At 46.6% G+C, this 18,470-nt stretch overlaps 2 protein-coding genes across 16 annotated transcripts in view, besides 8 other annotated features; one reads left to right on the top strand and one right to left on the bottom strand.

Moving 5' to 3' along the window:
* On the top strand, nucleotides 8–2,529 carry RAB24 (RAB24, member RAS oncogene family). 4 transcript variants are annotated; one of them, NM_130781.4, is made up of 9 exons: nucleotides 8–320; nucleotides 407–555; nucleotides 650–718; nucleotides 897–975; nucleotides 1,083–1,150; nucleotides 1,231–1,330; nucleotides 1,549–1,599; nucleotides 1,740–1,802; nucleotides 1,920–2,529. In NM_130781.4, exons 2-9 carry the CDS (start codon nucleotides 439–441, stop codon nucleotides 1,982–1,984), a joined length of 612 nt encoding a protein of 203 aa, NP_570137.2. In that variant the 5' UTR covers nucleotides 8–320; nucleotides 407–438; the 3' UTR covers nucleotides 1,985–2,529. The 4 variants fall into 4 exon arrangements, 2 of the variants coding, with proteins under 2 accessions (NP_570137.2, NP_001026847.1); NR_109789.2 differs by having other exon boundaries at nucleotides 1,231–1,599; NM_001031677.4 differs by having other exon boundaries at nucleotides 8–555.
* Nucleotides 48–117: a silencer, noted in NCBI's record as "silent region_16677". NCBI's record gives its function as "represses an Ori minimal core promoter by ATAC-STARR-seq in GM12878 lymphoblastoid cells {active_cell/tissue: GM12878}" and the evidence as "EXISTENCE:reporter gene assay evidence [ECO:0000049][PMID:35858748]".
* Nucleotides 1,118–2,317: an enhancer, noted in NCBI's record as "CDK7 strongly-dependent group 2 enhancer chr5:176728411-176729610 (GRCh37/hg19 assembly coordinates)". NCBI's record gives its function as "activates an origin of replication core promoter dependent on BRD2, BRD4, P300/CBP, MED14 and CDK7 cofactors, with strong dependence on CDK7, by STARR-seq in HCT116 cells {active_cell/tissue: HCT116}" and the evidence as "EXISTENCE:reporter gene assay evidence [ECO:0000049][PMID:35650434]".
* Nucleotides 1,885–1,944: an enhancer, noted in NCBI's record as "active region_23695". NCBI's record gives its function as "activates an Ori minimal core promoter by ATAC-STARR-seq in GM12878 lymphoblastoid cells {active_cell/tissue: GM12878}" and the evidence as "EXISTENCE:reporter gene assay evidence [ECO:0000049][PMID:35858748]".
* Nucleotides 3,147–3,340: a silencer, noted in NCBI's record as "fragment chr5:176727388-176727581 (GRCh37/hg19 assembly coordinates)". NCBI's record gives its function as "represses an EF-1alpha promoter that drives an FKBP-Casp9 reporter gene in an ReSE screen in phorbol 12-myristate 13-acetate-treated (for megakaryocytic differentiation) K562 erythroleukemia cells {active_cell/tissue: K562(+PMA)}" and the evidence as "EXISTENCE:reporter gene assay evidence [ECO:0000049][PMID:32094911]".
* Nucleotides 3,147–3,357: a biological region, named in NCBI's record as "ReSE screen-validated silencer GRCh37_chr5:176727388-176727581".
* Nucleotides 3,248–3,357: an enhancer, noted in NCBI's record as "active region_23694". NCBI's record gives its function as "activates an Ori minimal core promoter by ATAC-STARR-seq in GM12878 lymphoblastoid cells {active_cell/tissue: GM12878}" and the evidence as "EXISTENCE:reporter gene assay evidence [ECO:0000049][PMID:35858748]".
* The window catches only part of NSD1 (nuclear receptor binding SET domain protein 1), a 168,416-nt gene continuing 153,459 nt past the window's right edge, over nucleotides 3,514–18,470 (bottom strand). For 11 of the 12 annotated variants that reach the window (NM_001409301.1, NM_001409304.1, NM_001409305.1 and 8 more), the window contains 3 exons: nucleotides 14,802–14,908; nucleotides 11,569–11,773; nucleotides 3,514–9,895 (listed from right to left, as the gene is read on the bottom strand). In NM_001409301.1, the coding sequence (NP_001396230.1) occupies nucleotides 8,268–9,895; nucleotides 11,569–11,773; nucleotides 14,802–14,908 (1,940 nt within the window). In that variant the 3' untranslated portion in view covers nucleotides 3,514–8,267. The remainder of the gene's footprint in view (nucleotides 9,896–11,568; nucleotides 11,774–14,801; nucleotides 14,909–18,470) is intronic. The other variant, NM_001409309.1, reaches the window with a different exon arrangement.
* Nucleotides 7,026–7,525: an enhancer, noted in NCBI's record as "H3K4me1 hESC enhancer chr5:176723203-176723702 (GRCh37/hg19 assembly coordinates)". NCBI's record gives its function as "activates a minimal SCP1, AML or CMV promoter by ChIP-STARR-seq in primed H9 embryonic stem cells {active_cell/tissue: H9 hESC(primed)}" and the evidence as "EXISTENCE:reporter gene assay evidence [ECO:0000049][PMID:30033119]".
* Nucleotides 7,526–8,027: an enhancer, noted in NCBI's record as "H3K4me1 hESC enhancer chr5:176722701-176723202 (GRCh37/hg19 assembly coordinates)". NCBI's record gives its function as "activates a minimal SCP1, AML or CMV promoter by ChIP-STARR-seq in primed H9 embryonic stem cells {active_cell/tissue: H9 hESC(primed)}" and the evidence as "EXISTENCE:reporter gene assay evidence [ECO:0000049][PMID:30033119]".

Here is an 18,470-nt window from a genome sequence, read left to right as displayed (position 1 = left end):
CCTCGCCCTCTAGCCCCCTCCCGCGGGAGTCGCGGCGCTGCGGGTAGGAGCCGGGTTGCGGGAGACCCCAGGTTCGGTTGGGATTCCCAGCCAGAACGGAGCTTAAGCCGGGCAGGCGAGCGAATGACGGAGTAGCGAGCTGCACGGCGGCGTGCTGCGCTGTTGAGGACGCTGTCCCGCGCGCTCCCAGGCCGCCCCGAGGCTTGGGGTCTTCGAAGGATAATCGGCGCCCGGGGCCGAACAGCGGGGGCACACGGGGCGCTGCCGAAGTGCAAGGCCACGGCCAGAGCTCGAGCCCGACGCGCTGTCTGGAGTCGTAGGTTGGCGCCGTTTGGGGTCGGGGTCTGAGGCTTGGGCGCTGCCTGGGCCGAGCGGAGATCGGGGTTTGCCTCCCGTCCCCGCTCAGGACCCTGACGTGGCTGAAGCGGCCCCGGGAGCATGAGCGGGCAGCGCGTGGACGTCAAGGTGGTGATGCTGGGCAAGGAGTACGTGGGCAAGACTAGCCTGGTGGAGCGCTACGTGCACGACCGCTTTCTGGTGGGGCCTTATCAGAACGTGAGTGCATCCGGAGGGGCCAGGCACGGTGGGCGGGGGAGTGGGGGGCCGGTAATCTGCACCTATGGCCCCGATCTCTTCCCTCTCGTTGCAGACCATCGGGGCCGCCTTCGTGGCCAAGGTGATGTCGGTCGGAGACCGGACTGTGACATTAGGTATTTGGGTAAGTCCCCCGGCCATCTATTCTTGGGAGACTCATTCCTGAGGAGGTGTAGGTCCTGCCTATTACTGGTTGATTTGTGGCCTCACAGACCCATTTCTCATAGACCCGTTTCCTTATCTGGAAAATAGCGGGGTCTGGAGAACGTGGCCTTAAGTTTGACTCAGGCCTTACTCTTTAGGACACAGCAGGCTCTGAGCGCTATGAGGCCATGAGTAGAATCTACTATCGGGGTGCCAAGGCTGCCATCGTCTGCTATGGTAAGGGGGGGGGGGGTTTGGGCTGTCTCACAAGAAAAGATGGGTGCCAGGCTAGCCAGAGAACAGCCCTTGACCACTTGGTTGTCTCCTGCATGCCGCACACCAAGACCTCACAGACAGCAGCAGCTTTGAGCGAGCAAAGTTCTGGGTGAAGGAACTGCGCAGCCTAGAGGAGGTAGGTGAACAGACCTCACTAGAACACTAGGGGCTGGGGTTTTGTTGGCCTGTGGAGGTGACCCTTGTCTTCTGCCTCAGGGCTGCCAAATCTACTTATGTGGCACCAAGAGTGACCTGCTGGAAGAAGACCGGAGGCGTCGACGTGTGGACTTCCACGACGTCCAGGACTATGCAGACAGTAGCTGCTCCTCAGCCCTTTGGGGGGTGGGGGTGTGTGGCTGTCTGGGTGGATCAAAGAAAATAGGGACTGCCTTGGCTGCCAGGGCAAGGTGCTCTAGGAGGTCTTCCTGGCCTCCTTGAACTGTGGGGTCCAGGAGACTCCCTGAACTGCTAGCCCTCCCTTTTGTCTGTTTATCTAATTCTCAGGTATGAGGCTTTAGTCACTTCTCTTTACAGATATCAAAGCTCAGCTCTTTGAAACATCCAGCAAGACAGGCCAGAGTGTGGGTGAGTGCTGTGCTGGAGCCTCACAGCAGGAACATGCAGGGGCACCAGAGGAAGCTGAATAGGGCACAGAGGGCTGGGTCACTGGGAGATCCCAGGGCTACTGGCATTGGGCCCTCGCTGATCATCATTTTTCCTGCCAGACGAGCTCTTCCAGAAAGTGGCAGAGGATTACGTCAGTGTGGCTGCCTTCCAGGTGATGACAGGTGTGTGCTTCCCCAGCCTTTATGGAGACTTACTCTAGGCCCACAGCATCTAGCCCCTTTCCTGAGTTACCTGATCCCAACAGAATGGTGCTGAGCTGCCACCTCTCTTTTTGACAGAGGACAAGGGCGTGGATCTGGGCCAGAAGCCAAACCCCTACTTCTACAGCTGTTGTCATCACTGAGTCAGCACTCACCTGGCCTGGGGGAATTAAAGGAATTCCCCGTAAGGGCTGGACCCAGCTCCTTTCTGGGCTTGGGTAGTCAAATGTCTGAGCTACCCCAGGTCCTCATGTCAGCAGAGTGGCGCCTGCCTGTGCTGGCCCATGGAACGGAGACAGCATTGGGCTGACTGTGGGCATGAGGAGGGATAAGGCTGATTTGGACCCCAGGCTTCTGCCCTGGACAGCACTTGTGTCTGCAGATTATTTAAGTGGCTTTTGATCTGTAAATAAAATCAGTGCACTGTGCATCACACCCAGCCCCTTTCCCTGCTGTGTGGATTAGGTGTCAAGACACCTAGTTCTTCCTGGGGCCACCCGGCTGGCCTCACTGCTTATATTAAGGCTCCTCCCAACTCTCATTTTCCTTTGGAAAACAAGACTTTTTTCCCCATGGTTACCGCTGAGATACTGGGGCTGTAGTAGTATAAAAGCTCACAGTTCCTTCTGAGTGCTGAAAAGAGTGCATGAGTTGCTTCGAAATAAAAGGGTCAAGCATTCCTACCTGAGACAGGTTGGTCTGACTAGCTCTACTGCATCTGTCATGTTTGGGCCCCTATGTCAGACCTGTGACTCAGGTCCTGAGCTTCCCAGTGACATCCTACAATGTGGTTTAATGGTAGGAAAGTCCTAAGTTCTGTAAGCCAGAAAGGTCTAATGGATCCAGATTTGGTTCCAATTCAGCTGCTAATTTAGAAAAGGGACTTAAATCCTCATCTTGAGTTTCTCATCTGTAAAATAAGGTGACTACTATGCAGCCCAAGGATTGTGAAGAAAGTGAAGAGTAACTCTAGTACTAAATGTTTTTCCCAATCTTCCCAAGCACTTTTTGCTGAAAGGGCAGGAAGTTCAGGACTAGGTCACAAAGGGAAGCAAACTCCCAAGTTTTCCCCAAAGAAGATCCAGATATTTCTGAGGAATCAGGTGTTAACTGTAAACAGGGCTGACACTTGCTGCTCAACCAGAAGGAAATTTATTGCAGCCCTTTCTGGTATGGAGGGTGTGGCCCCAGGCCAGGGGCTTTCCCTTAGTTTTATCCTTTGCCTCTGCTTTCCTGCCTTTATTTAGGCCTGGGCTGAGTCCTCTGCAGTGGCCAACACCTGCCTTGGAAAAATGTACAACTTAGCCAACATGGTCAGACTCACACTCAGAGAGTGCTTTGGTTCCACTTCCTTTTTAAAAACCAATTCCTCAAACTGCCCTTCCTTCATGAGTGATGGGGGCTTCCTGTGGAGGGAGACTGAAACTGAAACCAGCCACTCCCAACAGAGGGAGAAAGAGGCTTGGGCAGCCCTGTGGCTGCTGAGAGGAAACACACTATTCCCATGACGTGCTTGGAGGAAGGGCTTAGCTTCACAGTATCCCTGCGCCCCCCGCCCCCCACCTCGTACTATCTCTGGGGCTGGCTTCTGCTCTCACCCCAAACAATCCTCCCTCCTGTTAGACTACAACTCCCCACAGCCAATAAAACAAAACACAGGGCAAGGGCCATATATGAGTAAAGTTAAACTTTACTTTACAGTAAATTTTTTTTCTATATACAAAGAATTACAGTACATGTTTATGGGGACTCCTAACACAGGGCTCCCCTCTTTTTCACTAGGAGTTTCACTTACAGCTGACAATCTATGGGGGCGGGGGGGGGGGGGCGCGGCAAAAAAGCAATGATGGACCTTGGCTGATCCCCCCGACCCCTTTCTTAACAATATAGGTAGATGTCTATCGTCAGCTTGCCTCTTTGCCAAGACCTAGGAGGCGGCTCTGCCATGAGCTGCTGTGTGCTGCCCTCCCCACCTTCAGCACACTCATCTACACACACACAGGTAGCACCCACCTCGATGAGACCGCCTTGCTCTGGCCTGCCCCAACCCTGGAAGTTGAAAACATAGAACCATTTATTTCTGCTTCTACTCTCTGTGCCCATGTCTTGTCCACGAAACTTTGCTGAACTTCCAGGACCTTACACCTGAAGCCCCACAATAACCTGATGTTTTGAAAGCCATGGGAAAGCAGCTCTAGAGAAGGAACCACATAAGCAGAAACAGCGCATGTTAAACTCGAAACACTTCTTCCGAGGTTGTGGATTTCTAGTTTAATTCTTTCCACTTCCTTAGAAAATACTACCCTTAATCTTCATAAGCAGTAGAGGGGCTTCCATGAGTGGAAGAGGTAGAGAGGGGCAGAAGGGAGCTGAGGAAGACCCAACAACCAGAGCTCTCTAACAACCTGCTCCAGGCAGCGTGGACGGAGGCTATGGACAAGGTGGCCCCAGCCCTGAGAAACTCAATGGCCACCTTCACCTGGATATAGGATCTCTTCCACCTCTGGATTGCACTGGGCCACTCCAGGGTTGGGTGCAGGCTTCACTGAGGATCTTCCTTCTCCCCACTTTTAACAAAGCCTCAAACTTTTCTACATAAAATCTCCTCCCAAACAGGAACCCGGGTTTCTTGAGCTGCCAGTCCCTCAACCCTTGGCAGTGCTTATTTATACCGTGAAATTAGCACCATCATTACATTTTATTGTGTGTGTGTACAAAACAATGATCTATTCTTATTTCAATTTACACTATAGCAGCCTCTGGCCCTGTTGCACTGGCCCTAGGAAGCTCAGCTGAGAACTAACTGGCCATAGCCAATGACAGGCTCCCACAGCAACTACCAAGCAGTGACTTGGAATGTCTACACATGGAACTGCTCAAATGAAACTCAGCAAGAAAGGGGCTGGAGGCAGCTCCTTCTCTGCCATGATCTGAGAGAGGTTAGGACACTGGGCTCCTCTAACCTGGCTGATAAACCCCAAGAGGATGACAGTATCATTTAAAAAACCTTAGTAAAATCCACCTTATAGGGACTAAGGGTAAAACCTATCCAAGTTTCATGCTGTCCTCATTACTCCCTATGGGGGAATCTGTCAGGACTAAACTTTCTGCCATTCTGTTCTCATGAGGCAACATTAGAATTACAACCTGGGAGTCCGGCTCCAGTGAGCAGACAGTGCCGAGCCTGGGAAGGGATCAACAGGGTGTTTCATGCCCTGACCATAGTGTGGGGTGAAGGATGTAAAGAATAAAATAACTATTTTCATCAATGCTAAAGATTTGGTTCAGAAGAGGGTCAACACAGTGATTTAAGTCATCTCAAACTCAGTAACAGGGTAAAGCAGACATTTAAAAATGAGGATGTTTCTGTATCAATGACAGCTATTTTGCTATTAGACTGGGTTGGCTCCAGCAAGATAAGCAAATGAGGCTTTGAATGTAAATTTCAACATTTTTCATAATCTTTTTCTGACTTAGCAGGGCTAGATGTATTGGCTTTCTAGCTACCCATGGAGAATTTCAACTTTTGCCTTGTCCCTGGAAAAGGCCTCCTGGGGAGCTGGCTCCAAGGCAAACACTCTTGAGATCTCAATTTCCAAGCACATACCCAAATACCACCCTGCGTTAAGGACCAGAAGTTTTCTAAGATGAAAGATTTCCTTTTCACTCCAATTCACATCCCTTTGGAAAAGGGGTCTTATTACAAACTTCAGGGGACGTCCCACAGGGCTGGCAAGGCCACTCCCTCCCCACCTTCCTCCAAGAGTCACATTTCCCAACAGTTGTTGTGACTCTGCTTCTAATTGGATAGTGACTGCTTTCATGATTTTAACCATCTAGTATCACATGCTGCTACTGGTGGGCCCAATAGCTCAAATTTCTAGTTTCCAGTGGTTTTCTAGTTCCCATTCAATGGCCCTTGAAGGAAGCCCAGATGTCCATCCATTCAGATGAAGAACTGCTCCCCAAAATGGCTCAGAAGCTGTTTTCCCAGGCAGGTCTGGAACGAAGCCTCCAATGAATGGCGGAGAATGGAAAGAACCAAAATAAAACCACAAAGCAGCCAATCATGGCCCCTTTCCCTCACTCCCTCCTGTCCTGTGAGACATCTAGACTGCTGTCAAGTTGATTACCTACCAAAGCCTACTTTAGAGAAGCTACTTTAGAATCAAACTTCTCCACGGAAAATTTTTACATGGCCTGCACGCCCTCCCCCCGCCCCCCCCAAATTCACAGTTTATTTCATGAAACAAAGAGCTACGGTAATTTAACACACAACATAGTGAAAGGAGACTCTGACAGTGCAGTGCAGATACCTTTTTCTGATCACAACTACAGATGACTGGAGAGAAAAGGGCACAGGACTGGCACCAAGCAAACCCTACTCATATGACCTAAAAGATTAGGGAAAGGGACCTACTAGCTGCAGTTATATATTTATTATTCTCACACATGATAAATACTTAATATAATGAACTTTAATGTTCTCGGTGAATTTCTTTAAAAATATCTTTTTCATGGTTTAAAATTCTTTTAAAAGAAAATAAGATGCTTTACGTTTTCTCTTCCTTTTGAACAAAGAGCTTTTCCTCTTTGATGATGTGGGAAGAGAGAGAGGATGAAAGGGGAGAACTAGGCAGGTGGAATTCACAGAGGAGATTCCGAGGTCTCAGTGAAATGCAGGGATAGGCCCCTAAACTCAGGACAGCCCTGCCCAGCCTCGTCCCTCTGCCTGAGTTCAAGTGTCTCAACCTCAGAGACAGACTTTGGGAAATAAAAGCAGATTCTATTTTTAATCTTTAGATAAAGCGCAAATGCTTCTATAATAACTACTGTTCCCTCCGTGGAATTGATGGGAGTAACCTCAATAAGAACTTGAGGAAATTGGGACCAAATACAGAATCCTATTGAGAGCGTGAAAGCCATAACTAAGAGATAATGGCCAGGAGACGTTAGGGCCGGGGATGGCCTGCTGGCTAAGTTGGCAAAGCAGAGAGGTAAACATGTTGGTCTAAGGACAAAGGAGGGGTAGACAAGTGGGAGGAAACTAGCCAAACAGCACTTCCTGTTGGCAGTCTGTGAGCTGGGTGAATGGTAGGGCAGGGTAGCACCAACAGATTTCCCAGCCCTTGGGCCCCAGCTCAGGGCAGCAGTAACAGATAATCAGCAGTTAATAGGAGTCATCTCTTAGCCTGGACGTTGCTCTAAACACCACCTCTTGCCAGTCTTCAGGGAAGGGTTCTGGCTTGCCTTTGAGCTAAGTCAGCAGGCAGGTGCTCTCAATACAGAGCACAGCAATTCTCAGGGAGGCGAAGAAGAGGACTCCCTCCACTCAGGAGGGAAAAGGAATGGGGAAAAGAAATTTCCCATCAGGATCTGGTACTCTTCCTGAAGCTGGTGTGTCTAGCTCAGAGCTTGCCAGAGATTCCCTATGTCCACTGCCCGAGGCTCTGAAATCTGAAAGCACCTGAGTGTTTTAGGGAAATAGGGATGGGGTGGATTCATGTACAAAGAGAAAAATAGGTAGAAACAAAAGCAAAGAAAGAGAAGCTTGCCAAATGCCTTCTTCCACTGCTGGAAATCTACATTCGCACAGAGCCCGACTGCCCCTGACCACCTGCTCCTCCAAGGACTGATCTTGAGACTCTGCACAGCCCAGACAAAAGCAGCAGCGGCGACCCCACAGCCAACAGCCTTGCTGGCCTCAATGCAGCACCCTTGCATCTATAGAGGAGACCTCTGTGAGTGTGCGCGCATGCACACGCACCCATGCACACCGCAGCCAAGAGACACTTCCTCAACACAACCACTTCTGGTGCCACAAAGGACATTTCAAAATGAGTCTAAAGCCCCAGGGCCCCTCAGAACTTCCTGTTACTTCCTGGTCAAAGGTTCCTGAAAGCCTTGGAATCCAGGCTCACAGGGATGAGGCCTGTATCTCTCATCAGTGACTAGCACCCGGCCTAGAACACGTGAATGCTCAGGAAATCGCCACTGATTTGAAAGAACACCATTTCCTCCCAAGGGTTCCTAGGTGCCCTCAATGGGGCTCTGTCTGGTTGGGGAAATCGCTTTGAGAGCCCCTATACCTTCCAACCTGACCAGCGGAATTGAATTCCATACTTGACTCCAGAGTGGACTTTTTATTTCACGATGACCATGTGGAAAAGTTGGGGGAAAGAGACCCAAGTCTGTCTGTCTCCTTGGTTGGGGCCCACTGGATTTTCATACATGGTTCACACAACCATAAGCCCCCACTGGCTAATGTCACAAGAGTTCTGAGTGTTGGGATATGAGGAAAGAATAACAGTGGGAAAGTGTTCGGGGCAGATGTGTTTTTTTTTAAGGGGGAAAGAAAGAAAAGATTTCCCCTCCCCAAATGGTACCCTGGGGGCAGCTTGTTTGTTCATGTGACATTGATTGGTACTACTTCTGTTCTGATTCTGCACACTTGTGACTGGAAGGAGCCTGGTTAAGAGCTGGAAGTGTATTTTGCTCTGGTTTGGGGTCTTGCCCTCTTCCAAGAGACCAGCAAGTCTGTGCCAATGTCTGTGTGCTCCCAGCAGACCAGCAAGACTGTGCCAGTGTCTGTCCAGCCACTATGGGCCAGAGCCCTGCCCGTGATGAGGCTTTTCCCAGGGCCCAGGGACTTTGCTCTGTGGTTACCAACTTCTTTTCTTCAGTGGGGAGGGAGGCTGGGGCCTTCCCGAGAGACCTAAAAGATTGCCCACTCTTGGCGGCAAGTGCAGGTAGTTGCTGGCCTCCGACCATCTGCTTCGCCTGCTTCACCAGGCCCGGGGATTGGCTAAGAGGCCCTGGGGTCTGCTCAGCCCCTGCAGAAGCTCTTCCTGAGGCCTGAGTTGTTGGCTCATATAAAAAGGCCTTGGCAGGAGGCTGAGAAAGAAGTCTGGCCTGGGTGAGTGATTTAACAGCTTGCCAGGGGTCCTCTGAAGGGGCTGCTGCTTTCCCAGATGTCTGAAGAGGATCTGACACACAGCCTTTCTCAACAGCTCTCGGCATATGCCCCAGACCTTTGCTGGCAGGCCATGAACTTGACTCCAACACTGGCATCTTCTCATCAGCCTGTGGTGTGACCTGATGAGGTGAAGCTGCCCGCTCCTTCTGGCGAGGAGTTAGGTCTATGAGATCCATCACCAAAGCAGCTCTATTTTTTGACTGAGTATTCTGGTCCACAGGCCTCAGTGCTTTTTCTTTAGCTACAAGGGTCTGGACCACAGCTGATAGTACTTTCTCAGGAGGTGGGAGTCTCTGGGACAAAGAGGCATGGGGTTTGTCAGTAGGCCTGTCTGAAGTCTGGGGTTTGGGACTGCTAGTAATGAGCAGTCTGTCTGGCGGCGGAAGTCTCAGGCCAGTGGGAACTGAGGTTTTCTCCAGTGACTGGGGCCTTGGGCTGGCAGCACCTATGGATTTATCCAGCCTTGGGTCAGCCGTCCCCAGAGGTCTTTCCAGTGGTTGGGACCTGACTGAGGGTGAGGAGCTTGGGCTGGTCACTGGAGAGGGTTTGTCGCTTAGCTGGGGTCTTGGTCCTGCCACTGCTGGTGGCCTGTCCAGTGGCCTCTGGCTGGAAACCAAGGATTGGGATTTGGTCCCTGACCCAGCGAGGTCTCTGACCTTATCTAAAGGCTGGGGCCTGGAGTCAGTTCTCTCAAGAGGTCTTTCAGGTAGCAATGGCCTCTGACAAGTCCCTGCCAGAGCTTTTTTGGAGAGCGACAGCATCTGGTTGGTGTCAGCAGGAGGTTTATCTGACATTTTGGGTGCCTGAGCAGCCATTCCTGTTGATTGCTCTGCCAGGTGAGTGCTTGGCCCTGGAGGCAGCGGTACTGGGGGAGGCACATACTCACGGATCTCCCCAGGTTCCAGAGGATTGGGCCCACAGGGGTCATGCTCAGTACAAGACAGACGCCCATCCAGTTTGGAAATGAAAAGCATCCCTTCTCGATGCTGCTTACAAAAGGAGCTGGGGCACATCTCACAGAAGGAGGCTGCTTCCTTCCCGCAGATGTCACACTGATGCCACGGACATTCCCATTTCCCTGAAAACACAGAAGTAAATCAAAAGTTTAGGAAAAAAGAGATACATATCACATGGGCCAAGGCTATGCTACAGTCCGAAGGTGTGGATGATGACCTTCCTTCACACTGTCCCTGCTTCAGAGAGCTTATGCCACTCACCAGCCACCTCTTGCCCCAGAATTCCAGCTTCTTTTTGTGCACAGAATACATAAAGTAACAGCGAATTATCAAATAGCAACTACTATCAACTAAATATACAAGCAGAAGAGTAAATTGGTATTTCTATGACTATTTCCAGCAAGGAGGTGAGGGGGGGGCGGGGGTGGGGACAACAAAAAGTTTCTTTTACATGAAACTTAAGATATTACTTTTATATTTTTGCAATCTCCATTTGTACTATACAGCTTTTAAATAAGCAACTCAAAGAGAAATATCCTGGTGATTTAGATTCCTGCTTATTTGCTATTAACAGTAATAGAAAAGATATAAAATCATGAAAAATGGAAGATTTACCTTTGCTCTATTTTAAGTCTTGAGATCAGCACAGCACGTTATATGTTGTTCACATGGAATCAGTAGAAAAGACCCAAAGCTGACCTAAGCTTTTACCTGCCTCCCCACATTTCATGAAACCTGAGGGTCTTGACCAGGGACAGTGTTTCCACCTTCAAATCAACTACACCAGCTCCCACTCCTGGCACACAGGCAAGATTGGTTCTATCATAGCCTGCGCCAGTGACGACCCTGAGCAGTTGATTCTGAAACAATTCTACTTCCTGGTGCTGACAGGTCAATGTGATGGCCTTGCCCTCATCCTACCTCAGTTTCTTTTATTTCATGACCCTGGCCAATATACAGTGAAGGAAAGCCAATTTGGGGACAAATTCCTTTTACTTATACCCTAAAGTTCTTAACGTTCTGCAACTCTTGGAAGCAGGTCACTAGTAATGTATAATCTCCTCACCCTGGAATGGCTCCCTACTGGTTTCTCTTTTTTGTTCATTAAAATAGATGGCATATCCAAATCCCTAAAATTCTCTAACCCCAAATCACTACTCAAAGGTTCTCAATTTCTTCAACTACAAATTTCCTGGGTACCACATCCACCTGAGCAGCTTTCTCATGTATTAACTGATACAACCAAATCTCCTTTAGAGGAAAAAAGTCTACTCTGCATGGGGGGAGACTGCACTAGGCGTAGGGGAGCAAGGTAGGAAGTGCTAAAAGGGTGGCAATCCATCTCTCACTGACTAGAACCACCTAAAGGCTTTACTATCTCAATCTTTCTTTCTCTAGAAAGGCAACATGATTTAATAGTCTTGGAGTCAAAAACCCAGCTCTCAATCCAGCTCCTCTATCTATGTGTGAAAGATCACCTCCCCAATCCTCACTCTGTTTCTTCACATGCATTATGGAAGAAAACCAACCATTATGGGCTGCTGGGGGAATGAAATAAACATGACTGTAAGTAAAGGACCTGAAACACAGCAAGTGCACCGCTGTCCCATTCTTCATAACTAAGAATTCTAAGCCTTTGCTTTCATTATTTCCAAAATAAGAAAATAGACCATACCCCTCAAAATTATGCATGGAAAGACCAAATGGCACTTTCTTCAAGGCTGATGCAAATGGCATGAGACCCTGAGTATGATGGAGAGAACGAGTAGCGGTACAAATGGATTTTGGCACCAACCTGCTGGTCGCTTGGTCAGATTGAGACAGTCTGCGTGGTAAACTTTTGGGCAGCCTGGTTTCTTGCAGGAGACGAGCTGGCCAGCATCCCCACAACTAAAACACTCATCTTCTCGCTCCTTTGTGATTTCACCCTGGGTCCTGCGCTTTCCCTGTTGCTTCTTCTTGAATTTCTTTGACTTTTCTTCCGTGGCAATGGGTTGATTCTACAGGTCAGATATTGAACAGTCAGCATTCTGTGAACACATTAGTACCAATCTTAACCGGGTTAACTACCCTCTCTGAGCCTCATTCTCTTCTCTGGGAAAAGAGATTGTCATGAAGATAAAATGCAGGAAAGGTACCTGGTACATCACAGATACGTAGCAATAATTTTTGTATCAACTACTCCTGCCACCTGAACAAAACAGAAGACAAAAATCTTTGTGTTTTTGCTGATCCATAAGGCTGGTGTTAAATGACATGCCTTTCATAAGTTTTATTAGTTAATTAATTTATTTATTTTTCAAGACGGAGTCTTGCTGTGTTGCCCAGGCTGGAGTGCAGTGGCGCGATCTCGGCTCACTGCAACCTCCGCCTGCTGGGTTCAAGCAATTCTCCTGCCTCAGCCTCCTGAGTAGCTGGGATTACAGGCGCCCACCACCACTCCTGGCTAATTTTTGTATTTTTAGTAGAGACGGGTTTTCAGCATATTGGTTAAGCTGGTCTCGAACTCCTGACCTTGTGACCCACCCGCTTTGGCCTCCTAAAGTGCTAGGATTACAGGCGTGAGCCACCGCACCTGGCCAAAGTTTCACTTTTATATTCGTCTACTTTCAGAACTAAACTAGACTTCTGTGTGTGGGTACACATGCCTATTTCTCGTTCATTCAACAAAGCATAACTGAACTTACTATAAGCAATGTGTTAAGACACAAAAAAGTTAATTCATGGTCCCTGCCGTCAATAAGACTACACATCAAGTCAAATTAGCTTCAGGTCCACCACTCCCAAGGCAGACCCTGGAGCAGCCAGCAGATGTTCTCTCTTTGTTCCCTGCAGCCCACACTTGGTCACCAAATCATCTTATCACATTCTTCATTTTAACCCAGAAACATCCAGGACCAATCTGTAAGGCTTAATGGAGGTCCACCCTATTCTGACAGACCAGTATCTACTAAGAGCACACAGTGACCTCTCTAGCATCTACCTCTGACTGACTCCTGTGAAATGCTATCCCATGCAGACATCAAGGATGCTGAAACTGACATCCGCACTACACTTAATACCATTAAGTACAGGTTAAACTGAGTTACTATTTTAATTTATAGGAAACAAGTCAACATCTTAAGGAACAACACCGTTAAACCAACAAAACTAAACAAAAAGCACAATAAAATCCAGTATAATATAGAGGTGATTCTCCTTATTTAACAAGATTAAAAAATGATCATTGAGTGCTCTTCATTTCTGGCCAGGCGCAGTGGCTCACGCCTGTAATCCCAGCACTTTGGGAGGCTGAGGCAGGTGGATCACCTGAGGTCAGGAGTTTGAGACCAGCCTGGCCAACATGGGGAAACCCCATCTCCACTAAAAATACAAAAAATTAGCCAGGTGTGGTGGCAGGGGCCTGTAATCCCAGCTACCTGGGAGGCTGAGGCAGGAGAATCACTTGAACCTGGGAGACGGAGGTTACAGTGAGCCGAGATCATACCATTGCACTTCAGCCTGGGCAACAGAGCGAGACTCCGTCTCAAAAAAAAAAAAAAAAATTTATTTACTCTTTTCTTATTGGCTTCTATGTTAATTTGCATTTTTCAGTTCTTAATGTTGAGCTTCACAATCAAAAAGGCATATGGAACATACTCAATTGAAGTCACTATATAGTTTATTTTGTATCAAAATTAAACTGCAATTTTCACTGTGCTGTTACTTATGATACAGAAATCTTGAATTATCCAGATGTTCATCTAGTATGTCCATCCATTATATAAAAAAATTAAGACAGTCACTAAAAATGATCAGCAAGGACTTTAAAAAATAATAATATAAGGGCCGGGCACAGTGGCTCACGCCTGTAATCCCAGCACTTTGGGAGGCTAAGGCGGGCGGATCACGAGGTCAGGAGATCGAGACCAACCTGGCTAACAACAGTGAAACCCTGTTTCTACTAAAAATATAAAAAATTAGCCGGGCATGGTGGCGGGCGCCTGTAGTTCCAGCTACTCAGGAGGCTGAGGCAGGAGAATGGCGTGAACCCGGGAGACGGAGCTTGCAGTGAGCCGAGATTGCGCCACTGCACTCCAGCCTGGGCAACAGAGCGAGACTCCACCTCAAAAAAAAAAACACAAAACAACAACAACAAAAAAAATAAGGAGAATATAGACATGGAAATGATACTTAACAGTTACAGAATTAGAATTCAATTATTCAGAAAGTGCATACTAAAAAAACAGGAAGACACAACAATGCTTATACTTTTTTATAATGGTGAGATTAAGAGTTCTACTTTTATCTATGATGTTATGCTACATTTAGAAGCTTAAACTGCAGATTTTTTGGTATCTTCAGAAAGAGAAAGTGAGAGAAAGACAGGGACAGACACAGATATACCAAGAATCTATATGGCTTATTAGGAGATGTGAGATCAAGACGAGGGAGGTAACTAACCTTCTTTATAAGGTCCTATTTCACAGCATTATTAGTTAGAAAAGTAGCACCAATTAAAGTCAGATGGCCCAAAACACTTCAACAATATCCCCAAAAACCTCTTATATAATTGATCAGCCGAATGCTTAGTGAATTGCAAGTGGCCCTATCAACACCTATTCAATGTCATTGAATTTTTCTTTTTTTTTTTGAGAAGGAGTCTTGCTGTGTTGCCCAGGCTAGAGTGCAGTGGTGTGATCTCAGCTCACTGCAATCTCTGCCTCCTGGGTTCAAGGGATTCTCCTGCCTCAGCCTCCTGAGTAGCTGGGACTACAAGCACATGCCACCACGGCCCAGCTAATTTTTCTATTCTTATTAGAGATGGGGTTTCATCATGTTGGCCAGGCTGGTCTCGAACTCCTGACCTCAGGTGATCCGCCCACCTCAGCCTCCCAAAGTGCTGGGATTACAGGCATGAGCCACCATGCCTGGCTGAATGTCATTAATTTCAAAGAGATTTCTTCTTAAAATGTAGACTGCCCTAACACTGTTAGGGAGGGAGGACCGCACCACTAATCCCAAAGCAGAAGTCTAGAAGGGTGGTACCTTTGGCCTTACACCCAAGAAGCCACTGCAGTTCGGGGCTCCACATTTGCAAACAGTCTTTCCATTCCCAAGACATTCTAGGTTGTAGTTGAAGGTAAGTTCAGTGCCTGCATAAGAGACCGTGAAAATATTAATATCTATGGTTTTAATTACATTATTTCTGTATTAATTACAAAGGATACCAACTCCCAAGAGAACAGATTAATTTTAAAAAGAATTTAGCTCTAATCCTATATTTTAATTAATTCTAATCTTATAACATTAATAATCAGGTAATACAATTTAACAGAGAAAACTTAAATGGCTTAACAAGTAATATTTAAGATAACTCTTCCTCCAGAGGTGTTAATTACCTCAAGTTGTTTTTCATTTGTTTATTAACCATTCAGATTCAAAATATGTTAATTCATTACCAAAACAAACAAAAAACAACTTATCAATGTGTCAGGCCCTGGGAATACAAGTATGAGGAAAACCTGTTTGTCTGTTCTCAGGTGAACACATGTTACCTGGCAGCACTCTGGAGAGGCATCTCAGTACAGAATAACACTAGAAATCTGTAGATTACAGACTGGTTGTAGATCCAGCTACGTCACAGACTTAGCAGGGTAATCTGAATCCTGAGCAGCCCATTTTAAAATGGAGAAATCTGACAAGCTTATTGAGACAATATGACAAAATGCACATAGCAGTAACGTGTAAACTTTAAAAAAAGGTACTCAAATTAACAGGCAAACTGTCCTCTTTCTCTCTTTCTGTCAAAGGTCCATTTCACCAAAACTGTGAGAGGAAATAAACATTCAAACTCAAAACTCATAACTAAAAGCCAGTTATGGGAGGCCTACCAAATATAAGAATTTTACATAAATATGTGAAGAGGTTGCCTATCACAGGGGTAATGTTTACAGTTAATGTATAAGGTAACCATCATTCATATTAAAAACTGTCAATTCTTAGGAAGATTTCCCTTTGCAGACTGACATACCTTTTATCAGTGAGACTGCTATACATAGTTTTTCATCGAATGTTAAAGGAAATCATTCTTATCACTATTTCTTTATCAAGTATGTTCACAATACCAGCAGCTACGTTAGGGTCATGCTGTAGGAGTAGCAGAATTATCCACGGCCTGATGAGGCTCATGCCATAAGGAGCTTGCAGGAACTGAGTGAGACTCACCAATGTTAACGGGAGGGTCATGTTTCCCATCTCATGCCTGAACTTAACTGGATTGAATCTTTCGTGGTTCTATTCACACTGTTTTTTTTTCTTTTTTCTTTTTCTTTCTTTGAGACGGAGTCTCACTCTGTTGCCCAGGCTGGAGTAAGGTGGTGAGATCCCGGCTCACTGCAGCCTCCGCCTCCTGGGTTCAAGCTATTCTCCTGCTTCAGCCTCCTGAGTAGCTGGGATTACAGGCGCCTGCCACCACGCCCAGCTAGTTTTTGTATTTTTAGTAGAGACGGTGTTTCACCATGTTAGCCATGCTGGTCTCAAACTCCTGAAGTGATCCTCCCACCTTGGCCTCCCAAAGTGTTGGGATTATAGGCGTGAGCCACTGCGCCCAGCCCCACACTGTCTTTTTCTTAATAAAAGATTTATGGATAGATAACTAAAATTTTATAGATACGATGTGCTTATAATACAACTGTACCTTATACACAAATAAAAGAAAGCAGGATACTTGTCATAACTTGCTGCTCACTGAACATATACTATGTAAGTGTAATCACAGAGAGGCTAAATTAAATCAGAAAGTATCAGTGCTCATAAACTAAACAGTGATACCATTCTAGAAAAGAGTTCAATATGCAGCAATCATTGATGGATCTTCAGTTACTGGGCATGGCAAAGAGCATGAGAGAAGAGATAAACAAGAGTAGGGATGGGACACTTGGGAGACAGTAAGTTGCAGGTATGTGAAGGGCCCAGGAAGTTGAATGAAGGCCTCAGCTCTGATAGGCACTCTGCCTGTCCCTTAGCACATCCTGTCTCATTTTCCCCATCCTGAACCTATGCAGACTGAAAGTCAAGTGAGGAGAGGAAGAGTCTGAGAATTTCAACACCAAGCTACCTGAGCTGATGAACACAGGAAAAAAAGAAGAGAAATTTGTGGCTAGACATGGCAGAGGAGGGCATCCCCATGGACATGAACTGCAGGTTCTAAGTAGAAGAATGGGACTATCAGCACTCAGCAGACATAGTAGAACTAAATCATGTGACTGATTTATTATAGAGGAACTATATTTATATTGATTTAATATAGAGGAACCTCTCCACCCCTGGGGCGATTAGAGAGAAAAAGGGAGAAAAGAATGAGAGAGGTGTGACATCCAAGGATAAAAGTAACATAGGTATAATATCATCTACTTTACAGCACTTTTGCAAGGCTTAAATGAGATAATATGCTTAGAATCGTATCTGGTATTCCGTATCATTTATTGAATTACTCCTGTTACAAAGTAGAAATCTAAACAATATACTCTGAAACCACCCATTCCAAAAACTTGAAATAAATCTGCAACTAAAAACCAGTCTCAAATAAGCAGAGTGCAGTGCACAGTGATGCTCAAGTGTCCTTGGTGTCATCATGTAAAACATTATGAGAAACAAACGCAAAACCCGAAAGTAACTAGTGGCTCAAATTTTAAAATCTAAAAATTGTCACAACCTAAAAAGTCTGAAAGACTCCTGGACAACACATTTAAATTGTAGAGAAAAAAGTACACTGAGTGTGAGAAGTCCCATAGATTAAATTTAAAACACAGGCCGGGCGCGGTGGCTCATGCCTGTAATTCTAGCACTTTGGGAGGCCGAGGTAGGCGGATCACTTGAGGTCAGGAGTCTCTACTAAAAATACCAAAAAATAGCCGGGCATGGTGGTGGATGCCTGTAATCCCAGCTGCTTAGGAGGCTGAGGCAGGAGAATTGCTTGAACCCGCGAGGTGGAGGTTGCAGTGAGCCGAGATCATGCCACTGCACTCCAGCCTGGGCAACAGAGCGAGACTCCGTTTCAACAAACAAGCAAGCAAACAAACACACACAAAAACAGACTAAGATCTGAACAAATATCATTCTAATTCTTTTATCTTGATCAATGCTTCCTGAGGACAACAGTGACTGAGCAAAGGAGAACTAAGGTCTTCCAGAACATTCAAATGGGATTCTGCTTCAACAGTAATTAGACTATATTACTGTATATTACAGACTACCTAGGCCAGTTCTATCCCAGTTTGAGTATAAGAGGCTGATTTTAACTGTTTTGCTCATATCCTTGCAAAACTACATTTGAAAAATCATAACTTTCTTGTACATTTCAAAATGTACAACGTTTATACAAATTTTTTTTTTTTTTTTTTTTTTTTGAGATGGAATCTCCCTCTGTTGCCCGGGCTAGAGTGCAGTGGCACGATCTCGGCTCACTACAAGCTCTGCCTCCTGGGTTCACGCCATTCTCCTGCCTCAGCCTCCAGAGTAGCTGAGACTACAGGCGCCTGCCACCACGTCCGGCTAATTTTTTTGTATTTTCAGTAGAGATGGGGTTTCACCATGTTAGCCAGGATGGTCTCGATCTCCTGACCTCGTGATCTGCCCGTGTTGGCCTCCCAAAGTGCTGGGATTACAGGCGTGAACCATCGCGCCCAGCCACAAATTTTAATACTTAAAAAAGCA

This window comes from Homo sapiens, chromosome 5 (assembly GCF_000001405.40).
Source record: "Homo sapiens chromosome 5, GRCh38.p14 Primary Assembly".
NCBI classification, from domain to species: domain Eukaryota; kingdom Metazoa; phylum Chordata; class Mammalia; order Primates; family Hominidae; genus Homo; species Homo sapiens.
Note: the sequence above shows the minus strand (reverse complement) of the source record. Positions and strands in the feature narration are given on the sequence as shown.